This window comes from Homo sapiens, chromosome 19 (assembly GCF_000001405.40).
Source record: "Homo sapiens chromosome 19, GRCh38.p14 Primary Assembly".
Taxonomy (NCBI): Eukaryota; Metazoa; Chordata; class Mammalia; order Primates; family Hominidae; genus Homo; species Homo sapiens.
Window position 1 is genome coordinate 24,080,723 of NC_000019.10, and position 23,576 is coordinate 24,104,298.

The window sequence follows — 23,576 nt, forward strand, 5'->3', positions numbered from 1 at the left end:
AGTGAGCTGAGATCGTGCCACTGCACTCCAGCCTGGGAAACAGAGACTCCGTCTCAAAAAAAAAAAAAAAAAAAGGAAGCTAGATGAGTTGCGAGTTGCCTCATGCCTGTAATCCCAGCACTTTGGGAGGCTGAGGTGGGTGGTCGGGAGTTCGAGACCAGCCTGAGCAACAAGGAGAAACCCCATCTCTAGTAAAAATACAAAATTAGCTGGGCGTGGTGGCACATGCTTGTAATCCCAGCTACTCAGGAGGCTTAGGCAAGAGATTCACATAAACCCGGGAGGCCGAAGTTGCAGTGAGCTGAGATCATGCCACTGCACTCCAGCCTGGGCGACAGAGTGAGACTCCTTCTCAAAAAAAAAAAAAAAAGAATATTAACTTTCTTCTGGACTGCTTACTCTGTTTTGACCCATTATAATGGGTCTGTTTCACCCCCAAACTGTATGGTCACGGGGATAGATTGACAAGCCCATAGATGCCATTTTACATAATCTCTAAGCTGTTTTTCAGTGACTTCGGTTTTCTTACATAACTTCCTTATCATGCCCGGATGCCTCAGGGAAGTCGTAGCAATTTCTCTTTCAGTAGATAAAGCCAATAAACTGGCTTTAGAACAACATTCTGAGGTTTAAGCCCACACCAAGTATGAGGAGTTCTATAAGCCAAAAGACACCAGTGGATGACAGGGGACACTTATTGAAATAGCAGACATTTTGCTAGACACTCCAATTAACCTGATATGAGGTGCTAATCAATAAAAAATAGTTAAACATTTGCATGACTCTACTCATTTGGGAATAAATTCCCTGTTTAATATCTCGGCTTTTTATAGAAAAATAATTACTTAAAAGAGTAAACCAGGTAACCCAGGCCTGTGAACTATATGCCTGGAACAACCCAAATGACCAATGTTTACCTCCTCCTTTAGTAAGGCCTGTTCAGCATAGAGGAGCATACCCTGGTGAAGACTGGCAAATAGACTATACTCAGATGCCCCCGTGTAAAGGGTTTAAATATTGATTAGTATTCATTGACACCTTTACCGTTTGGATTGAGGCTTTTCCTACCAAGTCTGAAAAGGCAATCAAGGTTTCTAAACTACTAAAAGAAATAATTCCGATGGGTACAGTATCTCACGCCTGTAATCCCTGCACATTGGGAGGCCAAGGCAGGTGGATCACCTGAGGTCAGGAGTTCGAGACCAGCCTGGCTAACATGGCGAAACCCCGTCTCTACTAAAAATACAAAAATTAGCTGGGTGTGGTGGTGTGCACCTGTAGTCCTAGCTACTCTGGAGGATGAGGCATGAGAATCACTTGAACCTTGGAGGCAGAGGTTGCAGTGAACCAAGATTGTGCCATTGCACTCCAGCCTGGGCAACAAGAGTGAAACTCTGCCTCAAAAGAAAAAAAAAAAAAGATAATATCGAGTCTCGCAAAATATAGTAATTAAGAAGATTCTTTATCACAAACCCTTGTGGCAGAGCACATCTCCTCATAGGTAAAAACATTGTAACTATGGTAAATGTGTTCCTCAATAGTAAATTAATTATTAAACTTATTCAAAATTATTTTATTTAATTTTTCAGAACAATGCTTATGTTTTGTATAGCTAATTGCTGTAATTCTTTAACAAAAACTGGGCCAGACACAGTGGGTCATGCCTGTAATCCCAGCACTTTGGGAGGCCGAGGCGGGCGGATCACGAGGTCAGGAGATCGAGACCGTCCTGGCTAACACGGTGCAACCCCATCTATACTAAAAAAAAAAAAAAAAAATTAGCCAGGCGTGGTGGCGGGTGCCTGTAGTCCCAGCTACTTGGGAGGCTGAGGCAGAAGAATCTCTTGAACCTGGGAGGCGGAGGTTGCAGTGAGCCCAGATCGCGCCAATGCACTCCAGTCTGGGCAACAGAGTGAGATTCCATCTCAAAAAAACAAAAAAAAAAAACCCAAAAAACTATTTGATTGATGTCTCATTACAAAATGTATAAAAGCAAGCTTTGCCCCGACCACCTTGGGCACATGTTCTCAGAACCTCCTGAGAGCTGTGTCACAGGCCATTGTCACTCATATATGGCTCAGAATCAATCTCTTCAATTTTTTTTTAAACCATCTGTGACAAACCCACAGCAAACATTAAACTGAACAGGAAAAAGTTGGAAACATTTTCTCTGAGAAATGGAACAAGACAATAGTGCCCATTTTCATCACTTCTATTCAACATAGTACTTGGAAGTCCCAGCCAGAGCAATTAGAGAAAAGAAATAAGTAGCGAGCCTCCAAGTTGGTAAAGAGGTAGTCAAATTGTCACTGTTCACTGATGTTACAATCATATAATTAGGAAACCCTAAATACTCATAAAAAAGCATCTAGATCTGATCAATTCAGTAAAGTTTTAGGATACAAAATTAATGTGCACATATTAGTGGCATTGGTATACACCAACAGTGACCAAACTGATATTTAAATCAAGAACTCAACCCCTTTTAAAGCAGCTGCAAAAAAATAATACTAATAATTAGGATTATCCCTAATGAAGGCCATGAAAGATCTCTACAAGAAAAACTGTAAAATATGTCTGAAAGGTATCATAGATGACACATACAAATAAAAACACATCCCATGCTTATAGATGGGTAGGGTTAGTATTGTAAAAATCATATTACCAAAAGCAAGCTACAAATTCAATACAATTCCTATGAAAATAACATCATAATTTCCTCACATAACTAAAAAACTCTAAAATTCATATGAAACAAAAAAGAACCTGCATAGACAAAGCAAGACTAAGCAAAACAAAAATAAACTCAAGATGGATCAAAAATGTTAAGACCTGAAACTATAAAAATTGTAGAAGGTAATACTGGAAAAACTCTTCTAGACATTGGCTTTGGCAAAGCGTAGATGACCAAGAACCCAAAAGCACATGCAACATGAAACAAAGACAGATGAGACTTAATTAATTCTCAAAAGAAGATATACAAATGGCCAACTAACGTAGATAAAAATGCTCAACATTACTAATGATTAATGATCAGGAAAATGCAAATCAAAACCACAATGTGATACCACCTTATTCCTGCAAAAATGACCATAATTAAAACATCAAAAATAATGCATGTTCGCATGGTTTTGGTGAAAAGGGAATACTTTTACATTGCTGGTGGGAATGTATACTAGTACAACACTATGGAAAACAGTATGGAGATTCATTAAAAAATTAAAAGTAGAACTACCGTTTGATTCAGCAATTCCACTACTGGGTATCTACATGGTGAAAAATAAGTCATTATATGAGTAAGATACTTGCACATGCATGTTTATAGCAGCACAATTTGCAATTGCAAAAGAATGGAAGCAGCCTAATTAATGCCCATCAACTAATGAGTGGAAAAGGAAAATGTGGCATATACCACATTTTCTTTATATATATATAATATATATAAATAATATATAATATATTTATAATAATATATATACACCAATGAATGCTACTCAATCATAACAAGGAATAAAATAATAGCACTTGCAGCAACCTCAATGGAGTTGAAGAACATTATTCTAAGTGAAGTAACTAAAAAATGAAAAAAACAAATATTGTATGTTCTCACTTATAAGTGGGAACTAAGCTATGAGAATGCAATGGCATAAGAATTATATAATGGACTGTGGGTACTCAGTGGCAAGGGTAGGAGAAGAGTGACGGATAAAAGACTACATATTGGGTACAGTGCACACTGCTTGGGAGATGGGTGCTCCTAAATATTAGAAATCACTACAAAAGAACTTATCCATGTATCCAAACATCTTCTGTACCTTAAAAACTTTGGAAATAATAATAATAATAATAAACAAAAAATAATCCCAAACCCCGTAAGTTTAACTTTCTATGCTTTGGCTGTTTTTGGTTTATTTTTTATTTTTTAGAAAGGGTCTCACTCTGTCACCCAGAATAGAGTGCAGTGGCTTAATCAGGGCTCATTGCAGCCTCGACCTCCTTGGTTCAGGCAATCCTCCTCCCTCCGCCTCCTGAACAGCTGGTACTAAAGGTACAGGCCACCATGCTCAGTTAACTTTTGTATTTTTTTAGATACATGTTTTTGCCATGTTGCCCAGGCTGATCTCAAATTCCTGGGCTTAAGCAGTCTTCATTTCTTGGCCTCCCAAAGTGCTGGGATTATAAACATGAGCCATCATGAGTGACCACAATCTTTTTTTTTTTTTTTTTTGAGACAGAGCCTCACTCTGTCACCCAGGCTGGAGTGCAGTGACCTGATCTTGGCTCACTTCAACCTCCTCCTGTCAGGTTCAAGCGATTCTCCTGCCTCAGCCTCTGAGTAGCTGGGACTACAGGCACGCGCCACCACGCCCAGCTAATTTTTGTATTTAATAGTGGAGATGGGGGTTTCACCATATTGGCCAGGCTGGTCTTGAACTCCTGACCTCGTGATCCACCCACCTCGGCCTCCCAAAGTGCTGGGACTACAGGCGTGAGCCACTGCACCCAGCCCAGAATTTTTTTTAACATGATATAGAAAAGCTAACTATATTTAGATCTGTTACTTAACAGAAAATTTGAATAAACGTCTTTTATTAAAAAACATAAAATTTTTTATCTACAAATATTGATACAAAACAGTTCAAAATTACTTCCTAGGGGTTTCACTAAAAATTAGTTTGTTAAGGGTATATATATATATATATAAAAACTAAGATTTCTAGGTGTAAAACAATTTTTTTATAGAGAGTGTATAAACAAAGGCCAGGCGCAGTGGGTCACGTCTGTAATCCCAACACCCAACACTTTGGGAGGCCAAGGCAGGTGGATCATTTCGAGCTTAGGAGTTTGAGACCAGCCTGAACAGCAAGGCAAATTCCAGTCCCTACTTAAAATACAGAAATAAACCGGGCATGATGGCTTACACCTGTAGTCCCAGCTACTCCAGAGGCTGAGGCTGGAGAATCGCTTGAACTTGGGAGGCGGAGGTTGCAGTGAGCCAAGATTGCGCCACTGCACTTCAGCCTGGGCGAAAGAGCAAGCCTCTCCTGGAAATAAAAAAACAGTGTATAAACAAAAGCAAAATATGCTTTTGATGAAGAAAGTTAGAAACATTTTGTCTACTTTGAAATTATTTAAAGGTTGTTTCAAATTGAAAATATAAAAATAATGTAGATTAAAATACAACATAAAAATTTAAAAAATGGCCAGGCACGATGGCTCACGCCTGTAATCCCAGTAATTTGGGAGGCTGAGGCGGGTGGATTACCTGAGGCCAAGAGTTCGTGACCAGCCTGGCAACATAGTGAAACCCCGTCTCTACTAAAAATGCAAAAAATTAGCCAGGTTTGGTGATGCACGCCTGTAATCCCAGCTACTCGGGAGGCTGAGGCAGGAGAATCGCTTGAACCCAGGAGGCAGAGGTTGCAGTTAGCCAAGATGGCGCCACTGTACTCCAGCTTGGGCGACAGAGCTAGACTTCGTCTAGACAAAAAATAAAAAATAAAAAAAAGTATAAGAGATCATAAAATATGTATAAAAATCTAGAATGGTCAAAAAGACAAATTTGATGGACTTTATTTTTGTTATTTTATTTTATTTTTTGAGACAAAGTCTCGCTCTGTCGCCCAGGCTAGGGTGCAGTGGCAGGATCTTGACTCACTGCAACCTCAGCCCCCCGGGTTCAAGGAATTCTGCTGCCTCAGCCACCCGAGAAGCTGGGGTTATAGGCGTGCGCCACCATGCCCAGCTAATTTTTTTTTCTTTTATTTTTTTGAGACGGAATTTTACTCTTGTTGTCCAGGCTGGAGTGTAATGACGCGATCCACGCTCACTGCAGCCTCCACCTCCCAGGTTCAAGCAGTTCTCCTGCCTCAGCCTCCCGAGAAGCTGGTATTACAGGCACGTGCCACTACGCCCAGCTAATTTTGTATTTTTAGTAGAGATGAGGTTTCACCATGATAGTCAGGCTGGTCTCCAACACATGACCTAATGTGATCCGCCCGCCTTGGCCATCGAAAGTGCTGGGATTACAGGCGTGAGCCACCGCGCCCAGCTGATGGATTTACTTATAACGGTTTATCAAATTAGCTTTAGTGCTGATAATACATTATTACTAAAGTAAAAGTTGATTTTCTCTTGAACAAAAATTATATGTATTATTAATATACATAAAATATGTTTGTTCACATTTTGAATACATTGAAAAAGAGAGAGAGCAAAAAAGATATAGAATTTTCCCATGCTCTGGGGTGGGCCTGGCTCAGCTCAGGGAGGAAGCCCTGCCCGATAAGGCTGCAGCTTAGGCTGTCACTCTTTCTTCAGCCTAGGGTGTGATCACATCTTCTATCACTCAGGGTCTGAGTAGGCGGGGCCTTAAACGTTATCCAACTAGGGACGTTGGGCTGGGAACTGTCCAATCAGGCACACAGCTGGACTGGACAAAGCGGCTTCCGGGATATGGCGGGGCCTTTGTCTCTCGCTGTCGCCGGAGTCCCAGGTCTGTCTTCACTGCTCTGTGTCCTCTGCTCCTAGAGGCCCAGCCTCTGTGGCGCTGTTACCAGCAGGTATTGGAGATCCACAGCTAAGATGCCAGGACCCCCTAGAAGCCTAGAAATGGTGAGAATGCCAGTCCGACATCCCGAGAGAGGGGAGGGGGCTGGTTGGAACTGGTGGGAAGCGGCTGTGGCGGGACTCAGGCCTCCCCCCAGTCAGCTCCACAATCTGCGCCCAGCTCGACCTCAGTCCCCTTCAGAAATAAGATGGCGGCTGCGCTGACAGCCAGACCCCCAGGAGTCCTGTTTCTTCCCTGCGCAGTGACTGTGCCCTGTCCTGGAGCCCTCTCTGGGCAGCTGTGGACCCGCAGCCCCGCGTCTCTCCCAGATTGTTCAGGGACCCGGGGAGGGTCGTCAGGGGAGAATCCTGACTCGGGTTGCGGGTTCATGAACGGGAAGAGCTTTGGTCTGTGGGGTTCCCAGGCCCTCTTTTTTCCCATTAAAAATTTATGGGCGTCACTGCAAAAATATTAAATACTTTAATAAAAGAATGATTCAAAAATTGTACCACACCCAGCTGTGGTTTGTACTTTTGTGGTCCATGGAAGGGGCCTGAAGAAAAGATTGTTACAAGGTTCATGATAAAGAAAACCAAATTCAATAATTGGCTAGGTACAGCAATCTAGGTTGTCGTTTTTTTTTTTTTTTTTTCTTTTTTTTGAGACAGAGTCTCACTTTTTTGCTCAGGCTGGAGTGCAGTGGTGTGATCTCGACTCACTGCAACCTCCGCCTCTTGGGTTCAAGCGATTCTCCTGCCTCAGCCTCCCTAGTAGCTGGGACTACAGGCGCCCGCCACCACAATTTTTTTATTTTTAGTAGAGACGGGGTTTTACCATGTTGGCCAGGCTGGTCTCCAACTCCTGACCTCAGGTGATCCACCCACCTTGGCCTCCGAAAGTGCTAGGATTACAGGCGTGAGCCACCGTGCCCAGCCTCGTTTCTTAATTTTTACATTTAAGGTGGGAATATCCTGGTTATGTAATCAGAGCTTAATTGTCAGCTTATTCTTGGTTAAGCAAGAATTTTGTTTCCGCTAATGTAGTAATTTACCAAAAAATGCTCTTGAGTTTAGATTTTTTTTTTAGAAGTAGAAATCCGGGGACTAGAGCCACCTCAATCTAATTGCCTGCCACTTAATTATTTTCACACTCCACAGGGGACTGCTTTTTTCCTGAAATTTTCACATGTATCCCAAGCAGGGCCTCAAGTCCACCCCTCATCCCCTATTCCTCCAGCCTAACTCTGGCTTGCAGGAAAATACTAAATTTCCCGTTTTGTCTGACATTCCCAAATGCCAATGTCCCCTCCCTAATTCACTTTATCATCTATTTGTCCTTTAGGGTAGATTTTGATACCTGTTTTAATTTTTATTTATTTATTTATTTTAATTTTTGAGACAGAGGCTTGCTCGGTCACCCCGGATGGAGTGCAGTGGTGCAGTGGTGTGATTTAGGCTCACTGCAACCTCTGCCTTATGGGATCAAATGATTCTCTTGTCTCAGTCGCCCAAGTAGCTGGAATTATAGGCGCCCGCCCCCACGCCTGGCTAATTTTTGTATTTTTAGTAGAGACCGGGCTTCACTATGTTGTCCAGGCTGGTTTCAAACTCCTAGCCTCAAGCGATCCGCCTGCATCAGCCTCCCCAAGAGCTGGTATTACAGACGTGAGCCATCTCGCCTGGCCAATTAATCTTTTTTTTTTTTTTTTTTTTTTTTTTTTTGAGACAGAGTTTCACTCTTGTTGCCCAGGCTGGAGTGCAATGGCACGATCTCGGCTCACCGCAACCTCCGCCTCCCAGGTTTAAGCGATTCTCCTGCCTCAGCCTCCCTAGTAACTGGGATTATAGGCATGTGCCACCATGCCTGGCTAATTTTGTGTTTTTAGTAAAGACAGGGTTTCTCCATGTTGGTCAGGCTGGTCTCAAACTCCCGACCTCGGGTGATACGCCCGCCTTGGCCTCCGAAAGTGCTGGGATTACAGGCGTGAGCCACTGCACCCGGCCAATTAATCATTTTTTGACAAAGCATTTGATGGCACATTTAAAAAGGTTTGTTTTCTTTTTGTAAATATTTCCTATGAGAAGAAAGCAAAGAATAATCTCCTGACACTGTATTGTAAAATATCTCTGCGTTTTTTTTTCTTCTATCTTCCCTAGTCACAGATATCTTATCAGAATGTTTTTGGGTCAAGTTTTCCTTTTGGAAACTATAGTGTGATGTGTCTTCAGTCACCATTCGGTTTTCTTGGACCTGGGTTTCAGTACTGTATTGGGATAAACGAAGATACCCACCATGGCTATGTCTGCTTAGAGTGTCTAGTAAATATCAGCTTCTGGGTCATATTCTCTCATAGGAAAATCTGAGGTATTGAGTGTAGCGTCCCAAGTGCGCAGGTGGATGCCCTGAGTCTAAAAGGCATTTCCTAGTGCACTTTTTTTTTTAAAGCTAATTTTATGAGACATTAATATTGTCTTCACCCAACCCAGCTTTCATTTCTTAAAGACACATTGCTGGTCAGTCAATCAGATACCAGTATTGAGGAGAAAACAAATAATTTCTGCCTCCTGGTTTCCTTTAGAGAACAGAAAAATAGTAAAAAATTTCTAGAAAACAAAACAAAACAAAACAAAAACGAGGGCCAGGCATGGTGGCTCATGCCTGTAATCCCTACACTTTGGGAGGCCAAGGAGGGTGGATCACGAAGTCAGGAGTTCGAGACCAGCTGGCCAACATGGTGAAACCCCATCTCTACTAAAAATACGAAAAAAAAAAAAAAAAAGCTGGGTGTAGTGGTACAGGCCTGTAATCGCAGCTACTCAGGAGGCTAAGGCAGGAGAATCAGTTGAACCTCAGAGGCGGAGGTTGCAGTGAGTGGATATCACGCCACTGCACTCCAGCCTGGGCGACAGAGTGAGACTCCATTTCAAAAACAAAAACAAACCGCAAAAAACTGACCCCAGTGAGATGGTGTAAGAACTTGCAGAGTAAAATGCGCCTGAGACACTCACTGGGGCATAGTTCAGAGTCTCCTGAGAGGGGGTTATTGAGCACTTTAGTGAGTAGGATGGGGTGGGACAGTCTCTCAAGTAATTGGATGGCCTGACTTGACACATGATTAAGACATATCTGTGTCTTGAAAAGGTTTTTTCACTTATTTTGACCTAAGGCTTGTTTTCGTTGTCTTGAGACAGTTTCCCTCTGTCACCCAGGCTGGAGCGCAGTGGTACCATCTCGGTCCACTGCAACCTCCAGATCTTGAGTTCAGGTGATTCTCATGCCTCAGCCTCCCAAGTAGCTGGGACTACAGGTGTGCACCACCACACTCAGCTAGTTTCTGTAGTTTTAGTAGAGACAGAGTTTCACCATGTTAGCTAGGCTGTTCTCAAACTTCTGGCCTCAAGTGACTCACCTGCCTGAGCCTTCCAAAGTGCTGAGATTACAGGCGTGAGCCATTGTGCCCAGCTCACCTCGGTTTTTTAACTGTGTATTGCATTTTATTAGTAGAGCTTGAAAGGTAAGAAAATATTTGCAAAGGGCATAAAAGAGGTGAGTTTCAAAAACATTAATATCTAATAATATATTTTATTTGTTGAACATTTTCATTTACCTTTTTCTTTCTCAGAGTGAGTTTAGGAAGTTTCTCGGACATGTTTTTTTTTATGGAGGAGTGATTTTTTTTTTTTTTTTTTTTTTTGAGACAGAGTCTCACTCTGTCGCCCAGGCTGGAGTGCAGTGGCGCCACTTTGGCTCACTGCAACTTCTGCCTCCCGGGTTCGAGCAATTCTCCTGCCTCAGCCTCCTGCGTAGCTGGGATTTCAGGCACACACCACCACACCTAGCTAATTTTTGTATTTTTAGTAGAGACAGGGTTTCACCATGTTAGGCTGGTCTTGAACTCCTGACCTCGGGTGATCCGCCCGCCTGGGCCTCCCAAAGTGCTGGGATTACAGGCATCAACCACCGTGCTTGGCCTATGGCTGAGTGATTTCAAACAGAATTCCATCTAGCTTTTAGAATGGTAGCTACCAAGGAAAAAAATAAAGAAAAAAAAAAAAAAATCTCTCTTCAATTTCAGCTGTAGACAATGAATACATTTCCACAAAACAATGTGATAGATAATTGATGAGTTAAATAGATTCCTGAAAACTTCAATTCCTTTTTTTAGCAGGGTAAATCCTTGGTAGTGAACATCTTTGTTCTATATCCTGTGTTTTTTTGTGTGTTTGATTGTTTTTTGAGATAAAGAGTTGCACTGCGACACCCAGGCTGGAGTGCAATGGTGCAATCTTAGCTCACTGCAACCTCCAATTCCCAGGTTCAAGTGATTCTCCTTCCTCAGCCTCCGGAGTAGCTGAGACTGCAGGCCTGTGCCACCACACCTGGCTAGTTTTTGTATTTTTAGTAGAGATGGGGTTTCACCATGTTGGCCAGGCTGGTCTCGAACTCCTGACCTCAAGTGATCTGCCCACCTCAGCCTCCCATAGTGCTGGGATTACAGGTGTGAGCCACTGCGCCCAGCCCTATATCCTGTTATTTTGATTTTTGAGTTTAATGCTAAATTTTATGTGATGAAACTTGGTACCTCCTAGAAGTGTTCCTATGTGATTAATTTTTTTTTTTTTTTTGAGATGGAGTCTCGCTCTGTTGGCCAAGCTGGAGTGCAGAGGCGCAATCTCAGCTCACTGCAAGCTCTGTCTCCCGGGTTCACGCCGTTCTCAGCCTCTCGAGCAGCTGGAACTACAGGTGCCCGCTACCACGCCCAGCTAATTTTTTGTATTTTTAGTAGAAACAGGATTTCACCATGTTGGCCAGGATGGTCTCGATCTCTTGACCTCGTGATCCACCCACCTCGGCCTCCCAAAGTGCTGGGATTACAGGCATGAGCCACTGTGCCTGGCCTTTTTTTTTTTTTTAAATGGAATTTTGATGTTGTTGCCCTGAGTGGAGTGCAGTGGGCGATCTCGGCTCACCTCAACCTACACCTCCTGGGTTCAAGCAATTCTCCTGCTTCAGCCTCTCGAATAGCTGGGATTACAGGCACCCACCACCACCATGCCCAGCTAATTTTTGTATTTTTAGTAGAGATGGGGTTTTATCATGTTGGCCAGGCTGGTCTTGAACTCCTGACCTCAGGTGATCCACCCTCCCCCCCGGCCTCCCAAAGTGCTGGGATTACAGGTGTGAGCCATCACGCTGGGCCAAGCAATCCTCTTGTACCTCAGCCTTCCACGTACCTGGGACTACAGGCATGCACCACCATACCTAGGTAATTTTTGTTTTTGTATTTTTTTAGAGATGGGATTTTTCCATGTTGCTCAGGCTGGTCTCAAACTCCTGAGCTCAGGCAATCCACCTGCCTTGGCCTCTCAGAGTGCTGGGATTACAGGCATGAGCCATTGTGCCTGATCATACCATATTTTCTTTATTCAGTCTACCATTGATAGGCATTCAAGTCGATTCCATGTCTTTGCTATTGTGAATAGTGCTGTAGTGAACACCCTTGTGCATGTGTGTTTATGACAGAATAATTTATATTTCTTTGGGTATATACCCAATTATTAGGTTGCTTGATGAAATGGTAATTCTGTTTTTAGTTCTGTGAGAAATTGCCACACTGCTTTTTACAATGGTTGAATTAATGTACACTTTAACAGCAGTGTATAAGCGTTCCCTTTTCTCTGCAACCTTGACATCATCTATTTTTTTGCTTTTTAATAGCCGTTCTCACTGGCATGAGATTGTATCTCGTGGTTTTTCTTTGCATTTCTCCAATAATTATTGATAGGCATTTTATTATATGTGTGTTAGCCACATGTTTGTCTTCTTTTGAAAAGCATCTTTTTCAAGTTTTTTGTCTGCTTTTTAGTGAGGTCTTTTTTTTCTTGTAAACTTAAGATTTTTATGAATTCTGGACATTAGACCTTTGTTAGAAGCATAGTTTGCAAATATTTCCTATTATTCTGTTGGTTCTCTGTTTTCTGTGTTGATAGTTTCCTTTGCTGTGAAGAAGCTCTTTAGTTTAATTAGGTCCAATTTGTCAATTTTTGGTTTTTTTGCAGTTGCTTTTTGTATCTTCAATTATGAATTCTCTGCTAGATTCTATGTCTAGAATGACATTTCCTAAGTTATCTTCCAGGGTTTTTTATAATGTTAAAATAAACATTTCAGTCTTTAATCTTGAGTTGATTTTTGTATATGGTGTAATAAAGGGGTCCAGTTTCAATCTTCTACATAGTGCTTGCTAGTTATTCCACCACCATTTATTACATAGGGAATTGGTTCCACATTTCTATTGTCACCTTTGTTAAAGATCAGATGGTTGTAGGTGAGTGACATTATTTCTGGACTGTCTATTCTGTTGCATTGGTCTATGAGTTTGTTTTTGTACCAGTTCCATGTTGCTTTGTTTACTGCAGCTCTGTAGTATAATTTGAAGACAGGTAATGTAATGCCTTCAGCTTTGCTGTTTTTGCTTGTGATTACCTTGGCTATTCAGACTCTTTGGTTTTATATGAATTTTACAATAATTTTTTTTTTTAGTTCTTTTAAAAATATTTTGGTCATTTGATTAGAATAGCATTAAATCTGTAAATTTTGGGGGGCAGTATGATCATTTTTAGGATATTGATCTTTTCTATTTATGAGCATAAAGTTGTTTTCCATTTGTGCCATTTCTGACTTCTTTAAGCATTGTTTTGCAATTCTTATAGAGATCTTTCACCTTCCTGGTATTCGTAGATATTTTATTCTTTTTGTGGCAGTTGTGAAGGGATTGTGTTTATGATTCGTATTTGGCTTGGATGTTGTTGATTTACAGGGACGCTACTAATTTTTGTACACTTACTTTGTATCCTGAAATGATACTGCAGTTGTTTGTAAGTTAAAGAGCTTTTCTATGAAGACTATATGGTTTTCCAGATGGAGAATTATGTTGTCTGCAAACAGGGATAGTTTGACTTCCTCTCTTCCTGTTTAAATGCCTTTTATTTATTTTTATTTTTATTTTTTTGAGATGGAGTCTTGCTCTTCGCCCAGGCTGGAGTGAAGTGGCAGTCTTGGCTCACCGCAAACTCCACCTCCCAGGTTCAAGTGATTCTCTTGCCTCAGCCTCCTGAGTAGCTGGGATTACAGGCATCCGCCACTGCGCCTGGTTAATTTTTGTATTTTTAGTAGAGGTGGGGTTTCACCATGTTGGCCAGGCTGGTCTCGAACTTCTGATCTCGTGAGCCACCCACCTTGGCCTCCCAAAGTGCTGGGATTACAGGCGTGAGTCACCTTACCTGGCCAAATGCCTTTTATTTTTATCTTTTGCCTAATTACTCTGACAAGTACTTCCAATTTTATGTTGAATAGTAGTGTTGAGAGAAGGCATCTTTGCCTTGTGCCAGTTTCCAAAGAAGAATGCTTCGGGTTTTTTTTTTCTTTTCTTTTTGAGATAGAGTCTCACTTTGTCTCCCAGGCTGGAGTGCAGTGGCACAATCTCGGCGCTCTGCAGCCTCCACCTTCTGGGTTCAAGTGATTCTCTTTGCTCAGCCTCTCAAGTAGCTGGGATTACAGGCACCTGCCATCACACCTGGCTAATTTTTATATTTTTAGTGGAGACAGGGTTTTGCCATGTTAGCCAGGTTGATCTCAAAATCCTGACCTCAGGGGATCCACCTGCCTTGGCCTCCCAAGTTGCTGGAATTACAGGCATGAGCCACTGCACCCGTCCACTTCCAGGTTTTGTCCATTCAGTATGTTGGCTGATGGTTTGTCATATAGATAACTTATTATTTTAAAGTATGTACCTTCAATGGCTAGGTTGTTGAGGGTTTTTAACATGAAAGATGTTAAATTTTATCAAAAGCTTTTTCTGCATCTATTGTGGTAATCTTGTGGTTTCTGTCTAGTTTTGTTTATATGATGAATCACATTTATTGATTTGTGTATGTTGAACCAACCTTACATTCCCAGAATAAATTCTACTTGATCATACTGGGTTAGCTTTTTGATATGCTGCTGGATTTGGTTTGTCAGTATTTTGTTGAAGATTTTTGCATCAATGTTCAAAGGTATTGGCCTGAATTTTTTTTTGTTTGTTTTATCTTTGCCAGGTTTTGGTATCAGAATAGTGCTGTTCTTATATAATGAGTTGAAAACAAGTTACTTTTTCTTAATTGCTTAAAATAGTTTCTGTAGAAATAATAATCAGCACTTTTTTGTACATCTGATAGAATTCAGCTGTGAATCTGTCTGGTCCTTGGCTTTGTTTGGTTGGTAGGCTATTTATTACTAATTCAATTTTTGAGCTTCTTATTCATCTATTTAGGGGTTTCATTTCTTTTTTGTTAATTCTTGGAAGGATGTATTTGTTCAATACCTTTTTCATTTTTTCTAGATTGTCTTGTTTGTGTGCACAGAGGTGTTCATAGTACATTTCAAGATATTTTTGTGGGGTCAGTGGTAATGTCTCTTTTGTTATTTCTAATTGTGTTTATTTGGGTCCTTCTTCCTTATCTAGTTAGTGGTTTATTTATTTTTTCATAGATTTAATTCCTGGATTTTTTGATATTTTGTAAAGTTTTTATGTCTAAATCTCAGTTTAGTTCTGATTTTGGTTATTTCTTGTCTGCTGCTAGCTTAGGGATTGATTTTCTCTTGCTTCTTTCATTCTTTTATTGATTATATCAGGTTGTAAAATGAAGATCTTTCTAACTTTTTAATTTGAGCATTAAATGCTATAAATTTCCCTTTAACATTATCTTAGCTATATTGCAGAGATTCTGATGTGTTGTTTTTTAGTTCTTTTTTTTTTTTTTTTTTAAGATGGAGTTTTACTCTTGTTGTCCAGGCTGAATGCAATGGCACAGTCTCAACTCACAGCAACCTCCGCCTCTTGGGTTCAAGCATTCTCCTTCCTCAGCCTTTCAAGTAGTTGGGATTACAGGCATGTGCCACCATGCCTGCCTAATTTTTGTAATTTTAGTAGAGACAGGATTTCACCATGTTGGCCAGGCTGGTCTCAAACTCCTGACCTCATGTGATCTGCCTGCCTCAGCCTCCCAAAGTGCTGGGATTACAGGTATGAGCCACCATGCCTGGCCTGTTTTTTTTGTTCTTATTTGTTTAAAATAACTTCTTGGTTTCTGCCTTAATTTCATTATTTACCAAAAAGTTATTCAAGTGCAGGTTGTTTAATTTTTATGTAATTGTATCAGTTGTTTTATTTTTATTGAACTATATTTCTGTTCAGCTGTGGTCTATGTGTTTGTTCTGTATAATTTTGAGTTTTTTGAATTTGCTGAGGATTATTCTATTTCTGATTGTGTGGTCAGTTTTTGAGTATGTGCCACATGGTGATGAGAACAATGTATGTTATGTTATTTTTAGATGAAGACTTCTGTAGATGTCTATTAGGACTATTTGGTCAAGTGTAGACTTTAGGTCCTAATGTTTTGTTAATTGGCTTCTTCAGTTATCTGTTTGTTAGTGCCTGTGGGATGTTGTAGTCTCCCACTGTTATTGTGTCATAATTTAAAACTCTTATAGATCTCTAAGAACTTGCTTTATTCATGTGAACCCATGAATTTTATACAACACCTTTCTCTCTTCTGCTTTTTCTCCCATAAGCATTCTTACGTGTGCACACAGTGTGCAAAATTCAGATGTCCAAGAGTTCAAGCACATGTGATGGACCTGTCTGTTGTAAAACAAAATATAAATTAAAAATAAGAGGCTTGGTCCACATTAAGATAAGAGAAAATATCTTACTAAAATCTCTTTTCTTAAAACATTTAGATTGTGTGTAGATTTTTATCCCTGTTTTTTTGAGATATATGTAAATCATATTAACAGCAAAATAAAACTTTTGTCATTTTTTTTGACTCAGGATTGTCTTTATCTGGGACCTGAGATTAATTGCTCTTTTTTTGCTTTGGCAAGAGATTATTCTTATGATAGTCTTTTAAAGTTGACACAGATTTGTTCAGAGTAAAGCTCATTCCAAGAGCACACAAAAGTTGAGCATAAAAATAGACAAAATTTAGCAGTACAGAATTATAAAGATTAAAAGATACTGAGTAAGTTGTTTGACAGAAACCTGATTATCCATGGTGATCGTTTGCAGGCTGAATTATAAAGATTAAAAGATACTGAGTAAGTTGTTTGACAGAAACCTGATTATCCATGGTGATCGTTTGCAGGCTGAAGTATTTATACTACAAAAACAAAAAGAGTTCAGTTTATGGCCGGACGTGGTGGCTCATGCCTGTAATCCCAGGATTTTGGGAGGTTGAGGTGGGCAGATCACCTGAGGTTGGGAGTTCGAGACCATCCTGACCAACATGGAGAAACCCCATCTCTATTAAAAATACAAAATTAGAAGGGTGTGGTGGTGCATGCCTGTAATCCCAGGTATTTGGGAGGCTGAGGCAGGATAGTTGCTTGAACCTGGGAGGCGGAGGTTGTGGTAAGCTGAGATCATGTCATTGCACTCCACCCTGGGCAACAAAAGCAAAACTCTATCTCAAAAATAAAATAAAATAAAATAAAATAAAATAAAATAAAATAAAATATACAAGCAAACAACAACAAAAAAAACAATTCAGTTTATAAACTGAACCAGTGGAGTCTGTTGTCATACCTTGGTTTCTATTTATTACTTCAGTACAATTAGCATAGTTATGCAGTGTTTGTAGACAACCTCATTCAAACACATTCACTAGTATTTTCTACAATAGTATGAATAAAGCCATAATATTTACTTTAAATGAATTCCTTAAATAGCTATTTTAATATTGTGATTCATACTTTTGAAATGTAGTTTTTGAGCTGAATTATAAAGAAAATGTTTAAAAATTCCACATACATTATGAGTAGTACATTAAAATTATTCATACTTACATATTTATGTCTAATATCCAAAGAAAATTTACTACCAAATTGTTACAGTAGATGTTAGTCTGATAGGCTTATTAATTTAACCAATAGGGATAATTATAAGTAAGCATAATGTTAGTGTCTTTCATTTCACAAATTGGAATGCTGCTATTACAGGACAAATAAAGGCAAGTGATGTGGCCATCCCAAAACTGTAATACCTCTCTAGTAAGCTATGTTGTAGGCTCGCATATATTCCATTATATTATCACAGTCATATTTTAATTTTTTATCAAAGGTACTGGTGTAAGTTGTCAAATATATTTCAATATAGATTTTGCCTTCAATGGCTAGATGAGCGCAGCAGAGATGAATAAAAACTTTTAAAATTCCAATGATAATATGCCCCCTTTCTTCATAGTACTCATGTTACTCATGCTGAGAGTAGCTATGCACTTTGGGTATTTAGAGAGAAATTCTTTTTAGAGGAATATTTTCTGACTGACTTGAGCAATCTTATATCTAATCTCAGGTTTTTTAAAGAGGCTTTTAACTTCCTTTTTTCTCAATATAATCTTTCTTGGAGTGAGAGCTGTTTTTCTTTTGAATGCTTTGTATATCTGTTTTAGAAGCCCTATTGGTATCCCATAATATCTCTGAAAGACAGGCTATTACAGTGAGAACTCTTGGAGCTAGCTTTATCTGGATGCATGCTGGAAATCCAGCAGTATTTTTTTCATGTAACCATTATAAATAGAAACTGTGGCTTAAACAATGCTCTCTTTACCATTATTGTGAAGGTGCAATTCTACCCAAGAGGCCTGCAGGCTCTTCTTCTGCAGCTCAGGCTTCGCTCTTTTTTTTTTTTTTTTTTTTTTTTTTTTGAGACAGTCTTGCCCTGTCTCCCAGGCTGGAGTGCAGTGACACGATCTCAGCTCACTGCAACCTCTGCCTCCTGGGTTGAAGCAATTCTTCTGCCTCAGCCTCCGAGTAGCTGAAATTACAGGTGCCCTCCACCATGCCCAGCTATTTTTTTTTTTTTTCTTGTATTTTTAGTAGAGATGGGGTTTCACCATGTTGGCCAGGCTGGTCTCGAACTCCTGACCTCATGATCCACCAGCCTCAGCCTCCCAAAGTGCTAGGATAACAGGCATGAGCCACCCTGCCTGGCCAGGCTTCACTCTTTGATGTGACACTAAAGTGCTGCTGTGGGAATTGGCATTCACCTAAGATGTGAGCTGCCAGCTGTGAGCCCTGCGCTATGGGCTGTATGTCAGTGGCAGGTGGTACGAAACAGAAGAGGACACTGGCCACCAGAAGAGGGGAAGCAAGAGTGCGCTAGCACAGTCTTCAGGGAGTAGAGAGCCACTGATTTAAAATGCAAGTAGCCAAAAAGACAGCACCCTTTTCAGTCACTTTTGTAGAAGAGTGAAAGTCTACCTTAAGCAGTTACCTGGCTTCAAGTTGCAAACTACCTTCTGTCATGAAGATGTGAAAAGCTTATTTTGTCATTGAATATAACCAGTTAGCATACATGGATGGCCTCCCCAATGACCAGGTGAATTTAGGATGAACTATGGCATGGTGCTGTAAATTCTTCTACTTGTGAACTAATTATGGTAACTGTCTTTCTGTCTTTTCAGTCTCTTAAGTAGACTGACTGTAATACATGTGATATTCAGATTTAAGTGTGTAATGAAACAATTTTCTGTCTGTTACATTATTGTGGTTTCTCTGGGGCTGAAGAGAATTTTTAAAAAATTATATTTTCCAAACAGTGTCTAGAATTACCAGACATAATATAAACACATAAGGTGCCAACCAAGCTTTATTGTAAAGGGGACTTTCCCTCTTAGTCTTCCAGTCAACTCACAATTATGCTCTAAAGTGCATGCTGTCACCTAAATATGCAGGCAGAATTGTGTCTCTGTCTATTTGGTGTCTATAGTCCTCTATAGTCACTTCTAGAGGGGCTAGACCAGATTTCTACAAACTTTATAGGGCAGATATTAATCATTTTACTTCATTCCATGACTCTTTTATCTTCAGAACTGAAACTGATTCAGAGACCATGGAGCCCAGAAACCTAATCAGAGTAACAGTGTGCATTGAGTAGACATGGAGACATGAGAATCTCCACTTCTTTTCCCTTCTCTCGCTAAAATGCTCACAATTGCAGGTAACAACTGCTGCTACTCCACCCATCCGGGACCTAAATCTGCAGCTCTGAATTCTAAATCTAGGTCTTGAAATTTGAAAAAAAAAAAAAAAAAATCCAAAACTTTTATTTGAGGAATGAAAGTCTTTTTACTTATAAAACTCAGAGAGACATTAAAATAAAAGCACAATTACATCTTTCTCCCTTCCTTCAACTATGTATTCATCTCTTGACATTGTTCACTATTGCCACAGGTAGGTGTAAGTTAAACTAATAATGTCACACTGGACACTATATTCTATACCCTTACCCTTAATGTACAGTCAATCAATAATTAAAGTTATTTATTTAAACAAGAATTTCTGACAAAGAAGTTTGTATGTCTCTCTCTCTTTTTTTTTTTTTGCCTTCACAAATCCACTTGTAACTGCTGCTAATCAAAGTGCAAATTCCAGGCATCTTGAATATTTCTTCTCAAGTTACAATACTTAAGCTTGGCCCAAATAAACTGTCTACTTATATTCATGTTGTGTCAGCTTTTTTTTTTTTTTTTTTAGATGTGGTTTTGCTCTTGTTGCTCAGGCTGGAGTGCAATGGCTTGATCTTGGCTCACTGCAACCTCCGCCTCCCAAGTTCAAGTGATTCTCCTGCCTCAGCTTTCTGAGTAGCTGGGATTACAGGCATGGGCCACCATGCCCGGCTAATTTTGTATTTTTAGTAGAGATAGGGTTTCTTCATGTTGGTCAGGCTGGTCTCGAACTCCCAACCTCAGGTGATCCTTCGACCTCAGGGGATCCGCCTGCCTTGGACTCCCAAAGTGCTGGAATTACAGGCATGAGCCATGGCACCCAGCCCGTATCAGCCTTTTTTTAGGTAAAATATTATTTAGAATTTTCTAGAGCAGCCTCTATGAGTAGATCTTTTGATTGTACTCTACTTGCTGTAACAGCCAGAAATGCAGAATGATGTTTATCTAGAATCTGCAAATAAGGTCTGGCCTCTGCCTGGAATTTATAAAACAGGGTCCTACTTTAGATTGAGAATGTACAGAAAACCAATAGGAGGCATTTTCTGCATTGTGAGATGTCAACATAGACATTTTAGATCCCTCCTTTGAGAGTGTGGCTCTTTGACCTTTTCACATCTTGTGTTTTCACCTGCTACAGTTATGTGAGAGGCTCCAGGTGTAAATAGAATCTGATGGCAGAATCTCTTAAGTGTAAAGAAGCATCTTAGGAGTGAGAGATCAAGGCCACAAAGTAGCCAGAGCTCTGAGCACAAGTATACTTACCTGGAAAATATGATATTAGAGTATTCTTGCACTTCTACATACCAAAAAGCTAGCTAATCAGGACAGGTGATCCAGGTTCTGCAGCTCCACCAGGGTACTTCCATTTTCTATTTAGAATCAGCCTGAGTCTCTCCTGCTGGCTTGCTATTGAACCATCAGTCCAGGGTCACTGGAAATGCTCTCACAATCACCTAGGTGTCTTTGAGACATTTGAGAATCTCCAGAACAGAATTGTGTCAGGCTGACAAGAGTGGGCAATTTTGCTTCTGTCTTAGTGTAAATGAAATGAGTCATCCTGTGATTGTTCCTCCCCTCATGCAAGAGCTGTCTTCGGTTGGTACCCAGATGAGAGTTTCTCCAGTTCCCTGGTACTTGGGTAAAAACAAGGAGGAGGTCTGCAGACTCAAAGAGATAAACTAATTGCTTCTATTTCATATAGTCATTAGAAAAATAGATGACGCAGTCATGGTCCCTACCATGCAGGAACTTTTAGTCTAGACTAGCAACTGGATAAATGATTTAATTATGCATCATATGGTGGGTACAATAAATAGATGTGTGCAAAAATATGGGCTTTATTTGGGCCATTTTCTTTATATTGTGACTTCAGATGTCTATACCTGAACATATATTAATAAACAAAATTTGTTTTTTTTTTTTTTTGCCTTGCTAAGTAAACTTATTTATCTTCTAAATTATTCTAGAAAACCTTAAGGGATTTGTTTAAATTGCTTATTAGTATGTGATATGAAATTAGAGGGCAATGGGGCTAAAAAAGATTAAAATTACACAAACTCTGAGATTTAAGTTTTTTTTTTTTCTTTTAGGTAAGCTTAAAAAAAGAAACATAAAAAAAAAATACTCCCCAGTGGTGTAAAGAACAGAATTTTACATCAACTCTACACCCTGCTTCAGCCCTGTTTAGATTCACCCTTTTTGAAGGCCTTATTTAAGTCTTGCCCTACCCTGGAGTTTTGCCTCACAGAACTAACTAGAAGAGATCAGAGTTTTGGGTGATGAATCCTGTTGCCTTTTTAGAGTTGGTGCTCACACTTTTCTGAAACCCAATAGCAGATAAATGGAAAAATAACATGTATTATAGGGTCTTAATTTAATAATTTTATATTAAAACCAGTGTTTACAGAGACATTCCATTTAGCAACTTGTTTTCTGTTCCTGCAGATATAGTAGTTGATTCACAAGTCACAAAATAGCAAATATAAATACAATAAAAATTCATCTACATTTCATTAAACTCTATCTGTGTCCTTCTCATCTGTCTGTATTTAGATTTTATTCCATGCATTTTAAAAAACTCAATGATAAACAGAAGAGGAAATAAAAATGCTGGGTCTTTATTCTAAATCCTTGGATTTATTGGACACTTAGTATCAACTCACAGGGTATTATTAGAATCAAATAATGTGCTATCACAGTGCTCTGTAACATCCTGTTGATCACATAGTACCTGCTTAATAAACATTGCATTAATACATGTGCACATGTTGTTTTCCAAATGCAGACTTACTCAGAAAATTGCTGCTTTCTGTTTTCTCTGTAAACTTTAAAGAGCCAGAAAATAATATGATACTTTAAGATAGAGAATGGTTGTCTTCATTTGCATCAGAAGTATTTGTGTTTTTACAAAAGTGCTGAGTGTAAGGGGCTCTGTGCTGTACCTCATTTTTCTAACTAATGCTAACAATGAGCCCAGAGAGAGTGACACCAGCATTGACAGAAGACTTGTTTAGAACACCCATTTATGGACCATTTCCAAACCTGCAGAATCGCATTACATAGAGTGGGGCCAATTTTACAAAGCGATTCATAAGCTCATTAAAGCTTGAGTGATAATGCTTAGGTAAGTGGTTATAAGATCAGGCTTCTAATTAGAATCACATGGCCAATATGCAGAACTCTCTTTACTTGTGCCCTTTTCACAGTTTCTGTTCTGGGTGAAAGCGTCTATTTGTTTTAATTAAGTGCCTCATGTGACTCTCAGGTGCCAGCATCAAATATGAGGAGTTCAAGATACATTCATTGAGTTAAGTTCCACTTTTGCACTAAAGAATGTTCTAGGAATCTGTTCTGTTTGAGTTTGGTAAGGATAGGACAGTGTGGCCAATATTTCTTTCCTTTTCTTTTTCTTTCTTTTTTTTTTTGAGATGGAGTCTCGCTCTGTCATCCAGGCTGGAGTCAATGGCACAATCTCGGCTCACTGCAACCTCTGCCTCCCGGGTTCAAGTGATTCTCCTGCCTCAGCCTCCTGAGTAGCTGCGATTACAGGTGCCTGCCACCATTCCCAGCTAAGTTTTGTATGTTAGGTAGAGGTGGGGTTTCACTCTGTTGGCCAGGCTGATCTTGAACTCCTGACTTCAGGTGATCCACCTGCCTTGGCCTCCCAAAGTGTTGGGATCACAGGCGTGAGACACCACACCCAGCCAACTTTTGTATTTTTAGTAGAGATGGGGTTTCACCATGTTGGCCAGGCTGCTGTTGAACTCCAGACTTCGTGATCCACCTGCCTTGGCCTCCCAAAGTGCTGGGATTCGATATTTCTATTACTGTAGCAGAAATTCCTGGTGTTTGTAACAGGGGAGGGCGCCTGGGGACAAAAAGAAGAGAAACTTATATTTTTCTCTCTGTGGAGCAGCTCATTGTTCCTGAATCTTTTTTGTTGTAAAGGACAGAAATGGGTAGAGTTTTTGTGTCTTGAG

General features: G+C 39.9%; 1 protein-coding gene and 1 pseudogene across 29 annotated transcripts in view, besides 3 other annotated features; one reads left to right on the forward strand and one right to left on the reverse strand.

Annotated features, from left to right (window-relative positions):
* Positions 1-23,576, forward strand: part of ZNF254 (zinc finger protein 254) — a 96,520-nt gene that overhangs the window by 47,274 nt on the left and 25,670 nt on the right. For 4 of the 29 annotated variants that reach the window (NM_203282.4, NM_001278664.2, NM_001278678.2 and 1 more), the window contains exon 1: positions 6,465-6,615. The exons of 23 other annotated variants lie outside the window; for them this stretch is intronic. In NM_203282.4, coding sequence (NP_975011.3) covers positions 6,586-6,615 — 30 coding nt within the window. In that variant the 5' untranslated portion in view covers positions 6,465-6,585. Of the gene's footprint in view, positions 1-6,464; positions 6,616-11,178; positions 11,294-23,109; positions 23,146-23,576 lie in introns of those variants that run through there. 2 more of the 29 variants (NM_001278662.2, XM_047439754.1) reach the window with 2 other exon arrangements.
* Positions 6,511-6,590: an enhancer, noted in NCBI's record as "active region_14398". NCBI's record gives its function as "activates an Ori minimal core promoter by ATAC-STARR-seq in GM12878 lymphoblastoid cells {active_cell/tissue: GM12878}" and the evidence as "EXISTENCE:reporter gene assay evidence [ECO:0000049][PMID:35858748]".
* Positions 6,641-6,690: an enhancer, noted in NCBI's record as "active region_14399". NCBI's record gives its function as "activates an Ori minimal core promoter by ATAC-STARR-seq in GM12878 lymphoblastoid cells {active_cell/tissue: GM12878}" and the evidence as "EXISTENCE:reporter gene assay evidence [ECO:0000049][PMID:35858748]".
* Positions 6,751-6,840: an enhancer, noted in NCBI's record as "active region_14400". NCBI's record gives its function as "activates an Ori minimal core promoter by ATAC-STARR-seq in GM12878 lymphoblastoid cells {active_cell/tissue: GM12878}" and the evidence as "EXISTENCE:reporter gene assay evidence [ECO:0000049][PMID:35858748]".
* Positions 17,705-18,258, reverse strand: BNIP3P40 (BCL2 interacting protein 3 pseudogene 40; annotated as a pseudogene).